A 21826-nucleotide genomic window follows, 5' to 3' on the forward strand; every position below is an offset into this window, starting at 1 on the left:
TCTTCAATTGTCAGGGTTGCAAGATGGATTAGATTACATTTTGCTGGTTGGGATGCTTATTTTTTTGTTGTTGTTGAAATAGAAATAGACTGAAAATACGGCTTGGAATGAATATCACAGTAATAGTGTGGTTAAAAGGCTTTAATTTGAGGATTTCTTTATGTTGATTATGTTCACCAAGCCATTTCCCTGACCATCAGACACAGTTTCCTTTCCTGTTCCTTTTCTTCCCCAAGACTAGTAGCAGCCAGCATACCATAACGATGTTCTTTACAACTCTGTCCCCAAACCTGCTGCTGATGGCCATCATCGTTTGGAGAGGCATTAAAGTAACATTTAAGAACATGAACCCAGGAGCTGAATTACTGGGTTTGAAATCTTAATTTCATTTTTATTGGATATAACTGTAGAAAACTTAATCTTTCTCTGCCTCAACTTCCTCCTCTGTAAAATGTTGATAATAATGTTACCTATCTTGTATGGTTGTTTTGAGGATTCATAATCAGGAAATATTTATACAGTCCTTAGAGGGACTTCTGAGGGTGGCAAATTCCCTCTAAAACAAGTGTAAAATTAGAATTGTCAACAACAACCATTTTGGGAGCTGGAAAGTAACCAAACAACAAACGGGGAAACATTATTTATGAAAATCTACTAGAACTTCTAGCAGATGTTTAAAGCCTTCTAGCATCGGGCTGCTCCTTATCCCCCGCAATCCCTCCATCTCTTACTCCTTAACTATGTCATTGTGGAAGTTTCATCAGGGCAAGATTGGCCTTCAAAACCAGTGGCTTTACTGCCATGAAGAGCTGACATGATTTGGAGTAGAGAGTGGAAACTCATGCCCAGCAGTGTTGTCAATGAAAGTAAACACTGTAGGGAAAAAAAAAAATGGGGAAAACCTGTAGCTCTGCTATCCTTTGGTTGTAGTTCCAGTTGGGATGACTGGAAACCATTCTGAAACTTAACAGGGAAATCTTGGAAATGAAGAAACCATAAACTTTCTGTGCATTCTTAACTAACTGGGAAGCTAAACACATGTACAGAGGAGACATGAGAGGACTTGGCAGCAAGTAAATAACTGAGTCTGACTTGTAAACTACTTGAACTTTTAATACTCTTTCTAACATACAATCACATCAGCAAAGAGTGGAGACTTAATAATGGGCCTATGGTTTTTGTGCAAAGTCTCTGCCCAGTCATTGGCTGACCACTAAGCCATGCAGACAGAGGTGATATCTAGGAGCCGAGGCTAAAAAATAAAAATAAGAATTCAAGCGAATTAAAATAAAACAGTGAGCAAAGGTATAAGCAGCCACACACTGTGAGGGCAGAGATTCTGCATATTAAATACAGCTGAGGTATTAAAAAGAAACCACGACAGCAGCAGCAATTCTCAGGGGAAAGAAATCTGAAACCGGAGTTGCTAATGGTGTATTATTTAAAATGTATAGTTTTCAACAACAAAACATTTATAAGATACATAAAGAAACAGAAAAGTTGATCCATAAAATAGAAATTGCCTCAGATGTGGACCCAGTGTTAGATTTAGCATATAAGGATTTTAAACCAGCTATTACAAATACGTTCAAAAATCAAAGTAAAACTATCTTGGAGAATTAAGAGGAAATATGATGACAATGACAACAAATACGTAGTCAGAGAAAAAAAAACTATTTTTCAAAGGCCTTAGAGACATTCTTTGCACATCTTAGTTATTATACCAGTGTGCTATAAGTAAATTAATATTTTGTTGTACAAATTACAGATAGTGTAGCTTCATCTGACCCAGAGATTGTGATTCAGTAGGTCTGGGATAGAGCTTCAAGATTTGTCTTTATAAAAAGTTTACTAGGTGATTCTGATGTAACCATATTTGGGAATCAATTATGTAGACTTGGCAAAGGATTAAAACATATATATATATATTTTTTTTTTTGATGATTTCTTCCCGTGAGTCAGTATTCTAGATCATTAATGTGATACAAATAAAGGAATAAATAAATGTTTTCAGGAATGGGTTTTTATGTCTTTTATAAGATTTATTTAGTGAAAATGTTGGGTTTTAAAAGTTGATACTAATTGCAATAATTTTATTAAAGGCTTTTCAAAGTTCCTTTAAAGTAGCATTGTTGGTGGAAGAGGTTGAGCTATATCCCTTGAAGTTTTCAGGAAAATAGTGTAAAATGGTCAAAGAAGGCACAACAATTTATATTTTTCTTAAAAATGTGTGTAAACTTTTTATTTTCCATCAGTTGTTTTGCCAAGATTAAGGACATGCCCGTGCCACAGCCTCAGGAGCTCCTGACAACATGTGCCCAAGGCGGTTGGGCTACAGCTTGGTTTTATACATTTTAGGGAGACATAAGTCAGAAATCAGTACATGAGTGATGTTCATTGGTTCAGTTTGGAAAGGTAAGACAACCCAAAGGGTAGAGTTAGGATTCCAGGTAATAGGTAGATTCAAAGATTTCCCGATTGGCAACTGGTTGAAGGGGTTTGTCTATTAATAAAGACCCGAATCAATAGAAGAAAGTGTCTGGGTTAAGATAGGGGTTGTGAGGACCAGGGTTCTTATTATGCAGATGAAGCCTCTAGGTAGCAGGTATTAAGAGAGAATAGATTGGAAATATTTCTTACCATATTTAAAGAGGCAGTTCTGGCCAAACGTGGTGGCTCACACCTGTAATCCCAGCATTTTAGGAGGCCAAAGTGGGCAGATCACCTGAGGTCAGGAGTTTGAGACCAGCCTGGCCAACATGGCGAAACCTCATCTCTACTAAAAATACAAAAATTAGCCGGTCATGGTGGTGCGCACCTGTGGTCCCATCTACTGGGGAGGCTGAAGTGGAAGAATCACTTGAACCTGGTGGGTGGAGGTTGCAGTGAGCCAAAATTGCACCACTGCACTCCTGCACTCCAGCCTGGGTGACAGAGCAAGACTCCATCTCAGAAAACAAAGGGTGGGGGGCAGTTCTGTCAGTCTTAAGGTCTCTGTTTTAATGTTAAGGATAGTCAGACTGTGTCAGAATTCCAATGAAAGGAAAGTACAATGAGGCATGTCTGACCACCCATTCCCATCATGGCCACAACTAGAGAACTTTTCCATAATTGATTCATGTTTATTTTCTCTTTTCCACTAAGTCATTGATTAAAATAGTTAACCTAGGAAGATGTTTTCCTGTGATTTGTGTGAACTCTGCTTAGTTTGTCACATGGACTTTTGAAAATTATTTTGACAGTACCTCACAATCTATATGGATGTGCACAGCACATCCATGTTAACAATGTTGTTATATTTATATTTTAAGAAAACAGAGCAAGTTGTTTATTAATTATCGATCACTTGAAATGTTGGAATAGCATGTGTACTTGATTAAAAGGAGCTTGCCTGTTTAGACTTACAGATTGAGGAAATTTTATAAGACTTTGAAATGGCTTTAATTCTTCAGAAAAGGTTTTAATTAAAACCCAGAGAAGTAAAATGACTTTGCCCAAAGTCACAAGACTGACCCATATACTCATACTTCAGTGTTCAGTGCTCTTTCCATGTGTACCTACAGTATAGCATTTGCTGTCTTTATATTTATGGTACACATGTTTACATTTCTACAAATATGATTTTCACTACTATTCATGTAGTTTTGTGAACCTTTACAATAATTATTTCTTGTCAGTTTTACTAATATATTCTTTGGTGATTTTCAGATTGTATGAAGACTTATAAAATAAATCTTGTTATTTTATCAGCAAAATGGCTTGAGTAGTCAGAGTTGATCAGAGAAGGGTTCTGGAGTCTAAGCTCCCTGCATGGGTTAGAATCTAACGTGTGGTAAGATTGAGACCCTAAATTTACTACTATTTGATGCCTTAGTTTCATACTCTGTAAAATTGGTACTATAACAGCAACTATTCCATTGTTTATTTTTTATGTTGTTGAACATAAAACAAAGTGATCCATATAAAGCATTTAAGCCAGTGCCAGCACATAGTAATTGCTTTGCAAGTAATACTTATTTCTCTCTTCATATTTGTTTTTTAAAGAATATATATATATTCATTATATATATATATACATTATATATACACATTATATATATACACATTATATATACACATTATATATATACACATTATATATATATACACATTTTATATACACACACACACACACACACACACACACACACACATATTTGGTTGGAAATACAGACTTTAGATAAGAGAAATGTATAAATATGTAACCCATCTGTCTTATGACAATTCCAGTGATACATATATAATAATAAATTGACAATTTAAATATTTTTTTGGTGGGGGAGATGGCATATAATTTTCATTGATAAGTAGTTTGCCTTGTTTTTAATGTTCACCATTTGTTTTCACTACCAAAGGAAATAGACATTACAAAGGAAAGCACATTGCAATTTATGTTGTGTTAATCACTAGTTTAATTCAACAATTTGGTTCCACATTTATAAGAATTATGTATCATGTGCTATTGTAGGCATTGAGATTATAACTAAGAGCCTTACTACAGTCTAGCAGGGTAGATATATATATATACTAAAAGTGAATATGCACTGTATCACATGTTAATAAGCACATTAGTAAAGATTAATATATCTGCATATATAAAGTTTAATCAAAACAGGTAAGAGAAAGAATTTAGAAAAGAACATTAATGATTTAAATCAAAATACATTGTAGGATTAAATAAAGTGGTATTTGCTATTAAGAACTCTTAGTGCAATTTCTGTTGCTATAGGAAAATACTCAGACTGGGTAATTTATAAAGAAAAGAGTTTTATTTAGCTTATGGTTCTGGGGTTCTGGGGTCGAAGGTGGGCAGCCACATCTGGTGAGGGCCTCATGCTGCTTCCTAGAATGGTTGAAAAGTGGAAGGACAAGGGAATGCAAAAAACTAATTAATTCCTTTGAGAACTAACCCAGTCTTAAAACAAAAACTTTGGGGCTGGGCACAGTGGCTCATGCCTGTAACCACAGCACTTTGGGAAGCGGAGGTGGGCGGATCACGAGGTCAAGGGTTCGAGACCAGCCTGGCCAACATGGTGAAACCTTGTCTCTACTAAGAATACAAAATTAGTCTGGCGTGATGGCACATGCCTGTAATCCTAGCTACTCAGGAGGCTGAGGCAGGAGAATTGCTTGAACCGGCGAGGCAGAGGTTGCAGTGAGCCAAGACTCTGTCTCGGGGTGGGGGCAGGGGGAAAGAAAGAGTTATAAAGACCCAGTCACCTGTTAAAGGCACGACCTCCCAGTATGGCCACACTGAGGACTAAGCCTCTACTTGAGTTTGATGGGAACAAGCCATATTCGAACGATAGCAAGTACCATGATCTCTTTTCTCCAGTAGATTCTGTATTGGCAATCTACTAAATTATTAAAGTGCACTGATCTTTCTTTTCTTTTTCCTTACTATACTTTTTTTTTTTTTTGAGATGGGAGTTTGGCTCTTTTTGCCCAAGCTAGAGTGCAGTGGTGCCATCTTGGCTCACTGCAACCCCCGCCTCCCAGGTTCAAATGATTCTCCTGCCCCAGCCTCCCTAGTAACTGGGATTACAGGCATGCGCCACCACACCCGGCTAGTTTTGTATTTTTAGTAGAGATGGGGTTTCACCATGTTAGCCAGGCTGGTCCTGAATCCCCTGACGTCAGGTGATCCACCCGCCTCAGCCTCCCAAAGTGCTGGGATTACAAGCGTGAACCACAGCGCTAGACCTTACTGTACTTTTCTGGATGACTGTGACCAAAGCTTTAAGACTGCCATCCCTGAATTATCAAAACGGTAACACACTCAACTATGCCAATTCCCAAATAGGTTTCAAAAGCAGAGGAAAATTCACTTAGAATGATAACTCTAATCCTGCAAACTAACAACAACAACAGTTAAAGGGCTTGGGTTTTAAAAACCACAGTGCTTCATAATCAGTTCTATGTTTTGACAAAATAGTAAGAATTGCGAGTGTGGCTCCAAGCCAGTCTTTTAATAATGTGTTCCAATATTCCTAGCATTTTCTAATAATAGATTTATTCTGTTTTATTATAGAATTGTAATTGCAAATTGCCTCTGTATTTAAAATAGGTTGCATTTCAAAATTTTATTTGATGTCGTTTGTTTGAATTTTCACATAGCTTTTGCCACAGAAATGTGTCAGCTTCTGAAGCCATAAAAATATTTTCTATTAAAATAAATATGGTACTACTAGTTTAAGCTGAATTATTTGTATAGATATTTCAGTACAAGGTCAGGAGATGGAGAAAAAAGCAGAGTGTGTGTGTGTGTGTGTGTGTGTGTGTGTGTGTGTGTGTACATATAAAAGTTTATGAACTTGTTGGGGAAGAAATATATTTTGGAAGTTTGGCCTGTGTACCATTTGTCCTGACATTTACCCAGCTCTGTTTCTGTATCCCTTCTGCATTAGTAGTGCACCTCTCCACATGCTACAGTACTCTCCATATACTATAAACCTTGTTAGTGAAAACCTACCAAGTTTGGGGTTTGCCACAATCTCCTGAAGATTTCTGAGTTCCAGGTTAGGTATTCTTTTCTTCCCTCTTCAGTCCAGTTACACCTTTAGTTTTCTCTGAAGAACTGAGAGTTCAGCCAGGTTTGAAAATTGCTGCTTTTTAAAATCATACCAGTATGTCACCCAGTACTGCTTTGGAAGAATATACTTACATCTCAGAAAAGATCATGTTCAGGTCTTTGAATTTGTTGAGTTGGATGGGAGCAGTGCTAGCTCCTTTGAATGTCCATCTGCTGATTCCTTTCAGTGTCAGTTTTAAATAAAGGGTATTTAAATGGAAATAAGTTATTGTGCCATAAGCATCTTATTGTCATAAATATCTTAGTTATTGTGGGGAAAAAACTGCTAAGATGAAGGTATTTTTTAAGATAATGCAATAGCAATTAATATGTATACATTAAATAAGAAAGTAAGGCCAGTGGGTGTAGCAGAGCCTTCATTCCATTGCACAAATGAAAATTCTTTCTTGATTAGTAGTTATATTTTCTGTTTGTAAAACTTGTCACCGTTTATAAAATCCATGATTAAATTTGTCATTATTATTTGGATTTACTAAAAAAGCCATTTAGTTTCTGATTATACAGAAAGTAATTTGTTAGGGTATTTTGTAAAGATGAAGAGTCCAAATAAAGATGAATAAAAAATAATTTTCTGACATATTGTAGAGAACCAAAAAATTATTTAATAAATGCCTGAATTTTATGACATCTCTTGACGATAGACATGAATCATATTACTTGAAAATGCTTTACTAAAATAATTTATCTTATAAATGAGTTACAGTTTAATTTTCTTTCTTTTTTATTTTAAGGTTTCAGCAGAGCAGCTTTACCATTTGGGCTGGTGAGGCGAGAATTATCCTGTGAAGGTTATTCTATAGATCTGCGATGCCCGGGCAGTGATGTCATCATGATTGAGAGCGCTAACTATGGTCGGACGGATGACAAGATTTGTGATGCTGACCCATTTCAGATGGAGAATACAGACTGCTACCTCCCCGATGCCTTCAAAATTATGACTCAAAGGTAAATATTCATGTGTTAATGTCCCATTTGAGCTATTGTATCCAAATTAGAAAAATTATTACAGTTATTCCAAAGCGAATGGATATAGACCACATCCCAGCCTATTTATTAAACTGAGTTGGGTTTTTACCTACTAATGTTGATATCTACACTTTATATTTTCATCAACATTCAAATATGTAAATCATTCTAATATAGCTTGACATGTATCAGAATATGTAATACGTATCTTTTTGTGTTATATAAACATGAAATAAAAAGCAAGAATAATTGAAATGTAATCTTAGTTTTTAAGGCTTCGAAAATTTGAAATACTTTTTGTAACATCAAGAATGTTGAAGTGCCTGGGTCTTTGGCATTAGTTGCTACTTAACTTTTTTTTTTTAAATTAATAAACTTTGTTTTTTAGAGCAGTTTTAGGTTCTTATTAAAATCAAGTAGAAAGTACAGAGATTTCTCATATGATCCATATCCACACACAGAGTGTTTCTCAACTGAAGATACTTTGCCCCACAGCAGTACATTTGTTAACAGTCCATGAACCCACATTGACACATAATTATCACCCAAAGTCCATAGTTTACAATAGGATTGGCTTTTGGCGTTGTACATTTTATGAGTTTTGACAAATGTATTCACCATTGTAGTATCATACAGAATACCTTCATGTGCCACATAATGACTACTTTTTGGTTAGTGATGAACTGCGTGTACCATGGTGGTTCCATAGATGCTAATGGATCTGAACTGTTGCCTAGTGACCTCTTAGCCATCATCAAGTCGTAGTGTGACGCATTATCTTTTCTATTTTAAATGTGTTTAGATGTACAGACACTTAACATTGTATTATAATTGCCTGTGGAATTCAGTACAATAATATGCTATTCAGGTTGTCGCCTAGGAGCAATAGACTGTACCTTATAGTCTAAGTGTGTAGTAGGCTATACTATCTCAGTTTGTTTAAATACTCTCATTGCTGTTCCTGTAATGATAAAATAGGCTGACAATGCATATCCCAGAAAGTATCCCTTTGTTAATGATGCATAACTAGTTTCACTGCCCTAAAAATCCTCTGTCCTTGGCCTGTTCATCCCTCTTATCCTCCTAACTACTGGTAGCCACAGATATTTTCCAGATTGGCTTATTTCACTTAGTAATATGCTTTTACATTTCCTCCATATCTTTTGTTGGCTTGATAGTTCATTTCTTTTTAGAATGGAATAATATTCATTGTCTGGATAGACACAGTTGATCCATGCACCTACAGAAGGACATATAGGTAGTTTTTAGGTTTTGTCAATTATGGATAGAGCTACTGTAAACATCAGTGTGCAGTTTCTTGTGTGAGTATAAGTTTTCAGTTTATTTGGGCAAATAAAGTACAATTGCTGGATTGTATAGTATGAGTATGTTTAGCTCAAAGTGGCTATACCACTTTCCATTTCTACCAGCAATGAATAGAAGTTCTTATTTCTCCACACTCTTGCCAGCATTCAGTGTTGCCAGTGTTTGAAATCCATTCTATTAAGTGTGTATTGCTGTCTTATTGATGTTGTAATTTGTAATTCCCTAATGACATGAAATGTTTAACATTTTTGATATACTTATTGTATACTTAACTGTCATCTGTACATCTTTTTTTTCTTTCTTTTTTTTTTTTTTAAGACAGAGTCTCACTCTGTTGCCCAGGCTGGAGTACAGCGGCGTGATCTCTGCTCACTGCAGTCTTTGTCTCCTGGGTTCAAGCAATTCTCATGCCTCAACCTCCTGAGTAGCTGGGATTACAGGTGCAAGCCACCAAGCCCGGCTAATTTTTTGTATTTTTAGTAGAGACAGGGTTTTACCATGTTGGCCAGGCTGGTCTCAAACTCCCAACCTCAGGAAATCCACCTGCCTCAGCCTCTCAAAGTGCTAGGATTACAGATGTGAGTTGCCATGCATGGCCTTGTATATCTTTTTTGTATCTGTTTAATCTTAGCCCATTTTTAAAATTGAGGGGTTTTTTTTTAGTATTTAGTTTTAAGAGTTCTTTGTATATTTTGGGATAACAGTCCTTCATCATATATCTCTTTCTCAAATATTTTCTCCCAGTTTTTGGCTTGTTTTTTCATTCCTTCCAGTTAAGAGTTATCATTTATATAGTTAAGACTTAAAACATAGAAACAGGCAAACAGAATTAAATAACAAGTTCAACTTAAGAAAGCATAAAACTAAGTATAGAATTCCTTGTATCCTTCAACGAATTATAGGTAAAATATCTTTTTACCAGATTAAACACTTTCTGGCTTTTCTTCCTAGCAGATTTGGCTTTACTCAGTAGGTTAGAGAAGTCATAGAGAAGGCTGTCAATATGACAGATGTGTTAAGCCAAGATGCAAAGTATGTTTTTGAATATTAAGTGAGAATTTCTGCCATCTTCAAATAGTATACAGATAGTTAAGGTAAACATATTCTGATTAGGTTCTATTCTTTCTAGTTCAAACCATTGCTTGTTTTTTTTTTTACCTTATATGTTGCCCAAGATGGTTATAAGGAAGAGACCAGTTGCCTTTTCTTTAAAATTTAGATGTAAGGAAAATTTTGCCCACGTTCAAATTCAGTATCATTCAAATTCAAGACAGTATAAAATTTGACATAATTGTTTGATTGTTGGAGGTACTGTAGTTTGTATTAAGGTGTTAAAGATGGTTATAAATTGGTGTTTAGCCACTTTGAAAATAGTACAATTGCCAGGTGCAGTGGCTCACGTCTGTAATCCCAGCACTTTGCGAGGCCGAGGCAGGTGGATCACCTGAGTTCAGGAGTTCAAGACCAGCCTGGCCAACATGGTGAAACCCTGTCTCTACTAAAAATATAAAGATTAGCCAGGCGTGGTGGCAGGCACCTGTAATCCCAGCTACTTGGGAGGCTGAGGCAGAAGAATCTGTTGAACCCAAGAGACGGAGGTTGCAGTGGCCAAGATCACGCCACTGAACTCCAACCTGGGCAACGGAGTGAGACTCTGCCTAAAAAACAATAATAATAATAATAATAATAATAATAATACTACAATTGAGAAAGGTAGAGATGAATATAAAGTATACGTATGTCCTAATATGATAGACTACCTCAATTCCTGAGTTGAAAGGTAAACTCATAATTTCTACTTTATTGAATTTGAGCAGTTTTTTTTCTTCACTGAGCCCCAGTTTATTATAGAAAGTAGATAATACATCATTGGTTAATTTTGTGTTTTAAAAATGGTGTGTTTGAGAATGTGTTATAAACTTTAAAGCTATATAAATGATACCTCTTAACTGGACTGTTGCCTTCCCACATATAAGTATAATACAGAAAACTGCTGAGAATGGATATCATTTTTTCTGTATTAGATACGAGACACCTAACTCTTGGCACCTTTTTTTTTTTGTTTTAATTGTGGTACTCCGGGCATCTTTATTAGAATTTTCCTATATGTAAGATAGTATAAATAATTATTGCTTATATAGAATAACTTGTCCTTTTTTAAAAAAAAAACTTAAAAATCCCAAAACCCTAATAGTTTAGCAGATTTTCCCCTTTATATTTCTCAAAAAATGTGATATTCAGTCATGTAGTGATGGGAGACATGTTTATTTCTTTAATGTAGAAAGTTTGTCTTTGAAAAGTTCACATTAAAACATTAGAATTTTTCCATTAAATTTGAAAGCCCCCCTTCCTTTTTTTTTTTACATGTGATGATAGAGATGGGCATAGAAATTTCAGTACCATTAAAATATGTTTTCATTGTATTTTGCTCCTCTTGTGTTTTTCACTCCCTTTCTTCCATGTTATCTCTTCAGCAGTTGAGAATCAAGTAAATAAATACACTTGTAATTCAGGCTGTGGACATGGTAAAAATATTGTATTCACTCTCCATTTTCTATTTCCTGTTCATTTAAAAGTGTGAAACTAAAGGCTCTAGTAGTAACTGATTATAGTATACTGTCTTAAGTATTCTGAGAGGCTCATCCTAAAAAGTGAGAAATGAAATGCTTTCTTAAAATGATATTTGTTTTAATATTTTATAGAACAGTCACCATTTAGTACTCTTTAAAGATAATTGTTGGGGGGGGCAACTTAAAAATATATAAAAGTTATAACACTTTGAATTCATTAACAAACCAAAAAAACAAATCCTACTATTACTTTGAAGTACTTGATTAACAAATTAATGAGAATTTTGCTACCAGTATTGTCTCTTTGCAGCAGTTGGGTACAAACTAGTAGGTGTCTTAAAGTGATACACTGGATTATACCTGAAGATCGTCCTGCCAAATTTTAACTGTTTTTTCACTCTAAAAACCTGCTCATTGTTATCAAGGTAGTTTTGCTGCTTCGGATGATGCTTTATAACATGACCTCAAGTTTTTAGCACTTTGGCCTAGAGATCTAAAAGTAATTATGTAAATATTTACTGGTTTATTTTTCAATATTAAATGTGAGTTTCACATGCATAGTTAGGTCTTTTGCAAAGCAATTCGTAGACATGTGAGTGTACCTTTGTAAATACAAAGAAGTATGAAACGTAATACATACCGTGTGAGGAAGACGGTGAAAATATGTGCTTCAGTTAGTCCCTATTGTAGTAAGGTGTATTTTGTATAAAATAGGCCCCCTGCCTCCCATTTTTTTTTTTTTTTTTTGCGGGGGGATGGATTGAAATTGCCCAGGGAAAGTAAGGTTATGGCCTAGATTTATGGAACTAGCCTGGCTCCTTCAAAGCTTTTAACCAAAAAAATTTTACTTAAGCACAGTTAAAGGTAGCACCTGACTAGAACCTCATAGCCTACTTACATTATGATGTTTCTTTTATTTTTTTTTATTTTTTATTTTTTTTTGAGATAGGGTCTCACTCCCTTGCCCACGCTGGAGTGCAGTGGCATGATCTCTGCTCACTGGAGCCTCTGCCTCCTGGGTTCAAGCAATTCCCCAGCCTCAGCCTCCCAAGTAGCTGGGATTATAGGCGCGCACCACTGTGCCCGGCTAATTTTTGTATTTTCAGTAGAGATGGTGTTTCACCATATTGTCCAGGATGGTCTCGAACTCTTGGCCTCAAGTGATCTGCCCGCCTCAGCCTCCCAAAGTGTTTGTATTACAGGCGGGAGCCACTGCACCCAGCCTATGTTTCTTATTAAGTAAAATTCATTATATTTTTGGTTGTTATACTATCCATTCAAATTCCTTGAAGTTTATTTCAGAACTGGGTGGCATGTAAATAAATAGTGCAGCAAGCCATTGTTTATACAGGTTTGGCACTTAAAGAGTAGTCAACAAAGAATGTAAAGGAGAAACAAATGTAAACATAAAGTTGAATAGTTGCCAGTGAATAAATGATATCACCCACAGAGATTATGTAATTTGAGTACGCAAAACCTGCTAGACAACATCTGCATTTGAGGAGCAGAGGTAAAATTGCCATAAAAAAAAACGGAACAGACGTGGGAGAATTAATGTTTTAGAAGCCAGTAGCAAAGTACAAAAGAGATACTTGAATTTTCTTGATGATGATGAAGATTTTTATTCTATTTTGACAGCTCAAATAAAAGAACATGTTAGGATTTTCGAGATAGGAGAGTTTCAAGATAGAAATCAAGAAATAGCAATTAGCCTTGCCTTGCATAGACCAGCAGGAATTAGGTAGTACTCTGGTCACATGGAGCCAGATGATGAATAAATATAAGACCTGAATTTATAAAGTAGGGATAAACTTCTAGGATTTTTATTCTATGAGAAAGAGAAAAAAATCTAGCTTTAGAACTTTAGGTATAGTTTAATTAACTTAAGCTCTATAAGCAACAAAGCTGATTTCAAAGCTCAGTGTTTTCTGAAAGGTTGGGATAATGGAAGTAAGCTCTAAATGTAGGCACCAGAATAATCTATTCCCTTTCTATACCCCATTCGGTAACTTTTCTGTTCTTGAATTTCCCTTTTCTAAACTTATCAATATCCTAACCTATTATCTCTAAGTATAATAATTACACTTTATTTTACTTTTTAAACTTGAGAGCATATGGAGTGGTGAGAACTTCTTGTGTGCCAGAGGCTTTGAAGGAATGTGTTGTTGTATATGTATGTGCATTACTTTGTTCTGTGGTTCTTTACATTACAGTGGATGCAGAGTGAGACTGGAAAATTGAGTGCATACTTCCACATTCAGTTAGAAGTAAGACTACATGGAAAGGACCATGTATGCCTTAGTCTGGAATAAGCAGAATGATCTTACCCTCTACCATGACACCTCCCATTCTTGCCACGAGGCAAGCCATATAAATAGGGACTCTGTAGGGGATGGGAGAGTTTATAGGCCATGGCTTCTATTTTAAGGGAGTTATTGAGATTGTTAGAGCTACGGAGGAGCTTGAGGCTCATCATATTCTAATTCCCTTTAATTACACTTGGGGAATTGATGTCATTATAATTGGTACACTTAGTTCACATAGCTACATGTATATTCTCACTTTTAAAAAAATCTCCTTGAGAAGGAGTGGCAATTTGATATTCTTTTTACTTCGCAAGCCTTTAGAACAAGGTTGGATTATTTTCCACAGGGGCTGAAACCTCAAATCGCCTGTACCTAGAACCTCATTCATTTAATATCTTACTGGCATGAAAATGTATTCATAAATAACTTTGAAGTTCAGTTTTGCTATCTAGACTTTTAACATGTCTATTATTTTCAAATATACTAATAGATACTAATTTTATATAAAATATTTAAACAAGGGAGATACTTAATGCACACATACACACACACACACACACACACCCCTTTACTATGGGAAGTGGTGAATATTGGAAGCCTCTCAGAATTTAATCAAGAAAATTCATTACAATGCACTCACAGTTCTGCCAGTGTACTCTGGCAGACTTCATGATTATAGATTTCGGCTTGTGTATACTCTCGTTGACGTACAGTCCTCTCAACTTTTTACATTGATCATCCATTCTTCATAAAGAAGCTTTGTATCCAAGTCAGAGCTATATGAAAGATATTTTTATTTAATTAATATTTGTTTTCTGATTTTTCCTATAGGTTACAATAAACTGTAAACTCATCTTTCTAAAATCTTCATATTTCTTCCTCATTAATGGCATTTTTCAAAGGGAAAAATTAGTGCAGTATGTCTTATGGTGTTTCATAATATTTTGGGGTTGGTATATTTTATTCCTGAATTATTATGAATGCTTACTAGTCAGGGTTACTCTTGCTTAGCATATTCATTCAGTATACTTACTCATTCTCTTAGGATCTAAGCCTGCCATGTCTCAGAAACTGCATTCTTACCCTTATGTTATTTATCCCAGGTGCTTTTATCTACTTGACATGTCAGGTTTATCCACCACTTGTCCATTAGGGTAAAATACATACGGGGGAAATGAAATAACTTGGCCGCTCCTAACCCATCATGTCTATGCAATCTACTTAGGTTATTTTCTATTAGTTGATGGATTTCTACTAATTCTCTCACTCGTGGCCTAGTTGTTTCAAGACAACTAACTGGTATTACAAGCACATCTCTGTGGCCAGTCTACTAATATAGATTCTTGAATTTTAGTACAGTAATAAATAACCATTAAAGCTCTTATTGGTATACCTAATTGGACACATACTTTGCATGTCACTTACTGATGGACATTAAAGCAAAGCACTCATAGGAAGGGGAGACTGTTGGCAGTAATAAACATGAAACTTATTAAACATTCACATTTAGTGTGCAAGAAAGACTAATAAATTTTGAAATGGTTTAGAAGATAAATTATCTAAATATCTTTTATGACCCTGCTTATCAAATGTAGAAAAGAGAGAAATAATGTCACATCAAAAATTCTGCCCTATAGGATCCTTGGTTTCTCCTTTTTTTTGACAGGGTCTTACAGCTGGAGTGCAGTCTCTGCTCACTGCAGCCCCAGCTTCCCAGGCTCAAGTGATCCTCCCACCTCAGTCTCCCGAGTAGCTGGTACTACAGGTGCATGCCACCACACCCAGCTAATTTTTGAAAAGTTTTTTTACAGACAGGGTTTCTGCCGTGTTGCCCTGGCTGGTCTCAAAACTCCTGGACCCAAGAGATCCGCCTGCCTCAGCCTCCCAAATGCTAGGATTACAGGTGTGAGCCACCAGGCCTGGCTCTGTTTTTCATTTTAAAATGAAAATCAGTAAAACAGTTCTACTAGATGTTGAAGACTGAGAATACAGGTGTGAATTGGCTCATTTTCACTGGTACTTCTCATTAATTTAGGGGGTTTTTACCTTTTGTATTATGTCCATTGATTGGTTGAGGAAACCAGAGTATTTTCCATAAGGACATTACATTAGTGGTCTTAAGTATTCCCTAAGGCTTATTCAGTGAAATTCAGAAGCTTGAAAGATACTTTAAAAGTTTGAATTTTATTTTATTTTTGAACAGATATAGGCTGGATAAGGGTAAGGGAAATTAGTTTTTGAAAGCAAAGCCATATCTCATTTCAACTTTGGTGATTTTGCTTCAGTTTTTATTTTTAGTTTTGAAACCAAAGCGGAGAGATGAAGAAATAAGATCAAAATCAATAGACGTGAACGTGAACATTTCATTTGACCTCTGCATTTCAATATGATCATAATGATCTTTTTATAGTGCTTTTCATATCCTTAGGGATTATTATGTATTCCACCTTTCTCATTTGAAAGGAGAGTATTATGGATGGGATGACAATGGTATTTCTGTGGTGTCTATATCATCACATACCTTGTAGTTTTTCACTCACCTAGAACATTCCTTCCTGTACACTAAAACATCGGTTTCTATTTACAAAGTATGACATTTAAACAAGTTAATTGACAGAACTGTGTTTGACTGGTATCTCTAAAATGTACTAAACAATCAAGTGTTAAATGTATTTACTTACTGTCTAAGGAAAATTATTGTGGGTAATTAGGTTCATGGTGGCATTTTACTAATACACATTTATCTAAACGACCACGAGATCAGCTTTCATAAGACTATTTTCAGATACCCATTCAAGGACTTTGTTGTTCCTAAGTATGATTTCTTTTCAGTATGGATCTGCTTGTTGATGTCATACTAATAATATAAAAATTTTGCTTACAAGCATCCTTTTTAAAAAGTTATACTTTGAACAGATAAGAATAGATGTTCAGTTACAGTTGTAAAAAATAGAAATGAAATTTTATTGTAAGGTTTCACATCAAGGCAAAGTCAACTATTTTTGCTTGTAATTTGGCATTTTCTTCTGTTTTTTTTCTTTTTTTGACACCAAAATTCATAGACAAATGCTACTGAAATGTAATATAATGCATGTTTTCTACCAGTTAAAAAAAGAACAAGTTGTGAAGTGTAATGTCACTTAAGAATTTGGAATTGTTTTTAGTATGCTGTAAAATTTCCTATGGCATTTTTATTAGGAAAATAATACATGTGTTTATTAAAGCTTTGGAATAATGTCACTGAAATATGCTGTTTATTAATACTTTTAATTTAATATTTAATAAATAATAGCAAACATAATTGGGGCAAAATTGAGACTTTTCCATTCTAATTATTCTTGTACATTTTAAGGAGATATCTAAATAAATAAAATGCCTAGCTGTATTTAATAGAGAAAACATCTTACTAAATTGGTTTACCCCAAATCCATATTTTGTTTTTGTACTAGGTTAGGAACACGATAGCATGATGAGTCAGTATACTGTATTGACTAATTTTATTGAATGAAGAGAAAGAGAGAAAAAAAAAATACATATATATGTCTTTTTTTTTCTTTTTGTGGGGAACATGGTCTCACTATGTTGCCCAGGCAGATCTTGAACTCCTGAGCTCAAGCTATCCTTCTTCTACCTCCTTCAGTGCTGGAATTACAAGCATGAGCAACCACTCCTGGCGAGATAATTTGATATTAAATTATTTAAAGATCTTAAACTGTCATTTATTATGGCCCTATTAATTTTCCATATATCCTATACTGAAATTGCATACCAAAACTATGATAGTAACAGCAGCAACAGCAACAACAAAAAACACCAGTACCTACTTTGTACATTATCTGAGGAGAATAATTGTGGGTAATTAGGCTTCTGATGGCATTTTACTAATACATATTTTTGTGCCTTGCATATTTTAAAGATCCATTCTTTTTTCTTTGCTATGTATTTTCTTTAAGTATATTATAGCAATGTAGTTAGATTTTTTTTAGTGCTGTTTATTACTCCACTATTAGTTTTAGAGGTAATACATCTCTTGTGGATGTTAGAAGGAAAAATCTCATTATGAAAAAAATAGAAGTAAATGATTTTGTAGTCTTTAACACATTTAAATGTTGTATAAATAAATCAGATATATTGTGAAACTAACACGTCACGGTTCTCTCAAAATTTGTTAACATGTCATATGTGAAGACCAAGAAAGACATAGTTTTAGAACTCACCTATCTACATTACTCATGGCTTTAAGAAAGTGTCTGAAATGAGAGTTGCTCTATTTAATTTGGCTTGAGATGATTCCAGTGGTCTTTCTGTTTGTTTTTTCAGACCGCAGATCTGTTATTGTTATTGAACTCACCTGTAATTTGTGGAAATCTTACTCTGTCTCTAAAGATAGATTCATGGTAAACCCATGAAGGTAATGAATCTTAAAACATCACAGCCCTTCACTTGCGTGGGTCTCTTCTAAGGCATTTGAACAAGTTCATGGGGTCAAATACATACAGTAAAAATTGGCAGAAATACAATATTTAAACACAATCTCTAAAGGCTCTGATTTCATTCTCTGACTTTTCTGATATACTTCCCCTCATTTATGGTGGCTTAGGAATAGCCAAGCGCATTTAGAGATGCAGTTAGATGGAAGTTCAGTTGGTGTTAAATTCAATCTAGGTTTAGTGGAGTTATTTTTACGTGGTTTGTAGACACTTGTATACAGTTTTGTTACTGCTAACTATTCTGGTGAAGAAATGGCCTCTAGAAATACTTCTGTTACTCATTATACTTCCTTCCTGATCGTGACATAAATGTGCAAAGCCAGATGTCATATTGCAATTTAAATATGTCCTATGACACCTGAGATATGTGGGTAGTGGAAGAGAGATAATGTTTGTAGTGTATGGAGCCAGAAGCTAGTCTATGGAAAAATCCTTTCATTCATTACATATATATATATAACATTAAGGGACATTTGGTTTTCATAGATAGCTAATCCAAAGAGAAGTTTTCTCTTACATATTCTTGGTGGAGTATGTAGAGTACACAGAGCACATGACAAGGGTAGTACTTAAAATTACCAATGTACCATACTTTCCCCCTCTTGATGAGTAAAATATGAAATAGAATTTATCAGAATGCCAGTGTTTGTAAGGCACAGGCTGGAGCAGTGTAGCAAGCACGAGCTCTTGTGGCAGTGTGGGTGCATGTTTTATGCATCACAACTATCAGTAGTAAAAAACAAATTTGGATCAGCTGTTCACAGGAAAAGCAACATTATAGAAAGTAAACTGAAATTTTTACATGAAGAGACACTCATAGACTATGTCGCTAAAAATATTGAAGTATTAGAAAGGAATATCAGGCAATTAATTAAAATGCTTTAGTTTTCTGGATTTTGTTGGTTGTGGTTCTTGTTGGCTTTTACAAATTTATTTCTTGTGATTTCTTTTTCTAAATAACCATTCACTTTGGTATCTAATTTTCTATATGTAATTTTTCTATTTTGTTTTTTATAGAAGGACCCTTAAATTTTACAAGTTTTAGACCCCACAAAACTTGAATTCACGCCTACCTTTTTTATTTATCAGGTGATAGTTTCAAGAAGTTGGCATAGCATTCCCCTGGACATTCACAGGTTGATATGTACATTTTAGGATATTTCATTGTATCTTTAGATATCTTCTTTGTATTTCAGAGATTTAGGATTTGGGAGAAGAGAGACTGAAAGATTAAAAATTAAACAAATTCATTTTTTAAAGGACATTATTTAAGTTTATAAACTAAAACATTTATTTATTTAGTAAAAGCTTTGAGCTAGAATAACCCATTTTCGCAGTTTATGTTAAATAAATGCTTGGCTTAAAGCCCTCCTATTATAATATGGACAAAACTAAATGGAGGAATAAACAGATTTTAAATAAATTTCACTAATATACTTTGCTTTTATACTCTCCTCCCCCTTCTTCTCCTCCTAATTTTTGGAAGTTTCCCTCACCCTCAACTCCCATTACAGACTTTATATGAAGAAAACTATTATTTAAGTTACTTTTCCTTAGTAATGGTGTTTCTGTTAGATTTATAATAAAAAACATCCTTTAGTAAATGAAAGCTTTTTTTTTTTAAGTTTTACTCTTGGTACTTAGAAAAATCACACAGGAATAGAATGTATGCTGATTTTTTAATGATATTTTATAATTCTGTAATTTTTTTCATACATTTGATTATCTTATGACATCCTAAAGTGTTCTTATCATTAATTAATAGAATTCTATGTAAACTTGAAAGAATGTTTGTAAGTAACTTTTGAAATCAAATTGTGAAATATGTGAATGAGACTGTACCTTTGAAAATGTACAAAAGCAGGTATGTTAGATAGATAAATAGTGGTCATAACAAATATATTATCTAATAAGTTGGTTCAAGGCACTTTTATATATCTTGCCATTTATTTCAACCCTTGATGAGTAGACCTTTATTAAGCTGTGATGATTACTGAATATGAAATGTAACCAAGATTATTTTTTATTCAAATATAATTTAAATATTCATCAAAGAGAAGTTATGCTTGAGACTGACAGAGACTATTAACATCAAAAAATATAATTAACTGCATTGGGTATCATGAAGCAGAGTTAGCCAAATAGCCGAGAGGTCTAATTGCTCTAGAGTTTGAGAAGCAATGGTTTTATTTTATGCTGTAGCTGTGGAATTAATAGTAATGCGGTTTCCTATGTGGGCCAATTAAAAGCTGCCTGTTAAGGTTCACTGCTCTATAGGAAACCCATTGAATATCGCTTAGTAAACAGGATTGACATGTCAATGTGTACAAGAAGATAAAATAGAATAAAAACTGTGAAAATGAGAAGTAGTATTAAAAGAACTGTCCTTGAAAACAACTCATAAAACTCTTTACCATTAGTGTTATGGTTGGTGTTGTAGTGTGCCTCCCACGTTCGCCTTTCAGGATCAGGCACTGTTTCTCCCAGCTGTCAAGAGAGTTGCCTGCTGATGGGCTCACAGCTGAGTCACTCCACAGGAACTGCCACGGGCTGAAGGGATCTTAAACTCTTCTCCCCAGAGGCAGCCCCCAGTGAATCCCAATGAATGCCAGAGTACAAAGGATTGGCTTCTTCATCTTTGCTTCATTTCAGGGACATCTCTGAAGGTCTCTGCCAACTCCAGAGCTCCCGCCCTGAGGAATTTGCTGGGCTTTTGTTGCGACTGCACTGGAGTTCGCCTTCTCACTCTCCCCAACCCTGCATCTGTCATGGCTTCAATGATAGTTCTAAGAGCACTCCCAATAAGCCTCTGAGAGATCTCTGCCTCAAATCTGTGCTTCCCTTGTTATCCAACCAAAGAAAAGTGCTAATACATTATAGGAATCTAGTAATTAAGTATAAAAACTAAAGGTTTTAAAGGAAAAAAAAAACAAAAAAAAAGCCCAATTCAGGTCTAAAAATGGCTTTTTGCACTCAAAACGTTTATCTTTGTCTTGTCATCCTTTTTCTTTAATAAAAGTAATATTTTGACCTTTGTGGCTCTATTAAGCTTTTTAACTGAATACAAAAAGAAAGTGCTTCTGATTGAATCCAAAAGGTTTTGCCTTGCCTTGGCTATAGAGGTTTAGAAGTGGGCAGACATTCTAATGGCATTTTGACATTAATGAGGTTGCTGAAATGGAAAAGTTTAAGGGTCAAAGATAAGAGCAGCGACAAGTTATTCTAGTGTTTCTTTTACTTAATAATGTCATATCAAATATGCTTAAGAAGTTGACCATGATTCCTTATGTAGAATATGTAATGTTTTATGAGTATACTACTTTAAGTATTATAATACTTTTTGCAAATAAAAAAATTCTAAGACTTACTATAAAACATGCCACCTCAGTCTATTAATATGTTTAGTTGCAACTTCTGCAAAACGTGTAAAAAATTTTAAAATTGCTTAATAGATTTTATTGTGTACAATATGATAATGTGTATAGTGTGTCTTTAAACTGCAGTGATAAGGCTGTTTTCCTAGTCATTCATTATTTA

At 34.8% G+C, this 21826-nt stretch overlaps 1 protein-coding gene across 64 annotated transcripts in view; it reads left to right on the top strand.

The window, feature by feature from the left end:
* ADGRL2 (adhesion G protein-coupled receptor L2) overlaps positions 1–21826 on the top strand; it is a 687801-nt gene that overhangs the window by 593523 nt on the left and 72452 nt on the right. For all 64 annotated transcript variants that reach the window (NR_171658.1, XM_047416152.1, XM_047416118.1 and 61 more), the window contains one exon: positions 7363–7576. Coding sequence is in view for 63 of the 64 variants with exons in the window: in XM_047416152.1 (XP_047272108.1) it covers positions 7363–7576 (214 nt within the window). In the remaining variant the exon portion in view is untranslated. The remainder of the gene's footprint in view (positions 1–7362; positions 7577–21826) is intronic.

Source organism: Homo sapiens, chromosome 1, assembly GCF_000001405.40.
Source record: "Homo sapiens chromosome 1, GRCh38.p14 Primary Assembly".
In the NCBI taxonomy this organism is placed as follows: domain Eukaryota; kingdom Metazoa; phylum Chordata; class Mammalia; order Primates; family Hominidae; genus Homo; species Homo sapiens.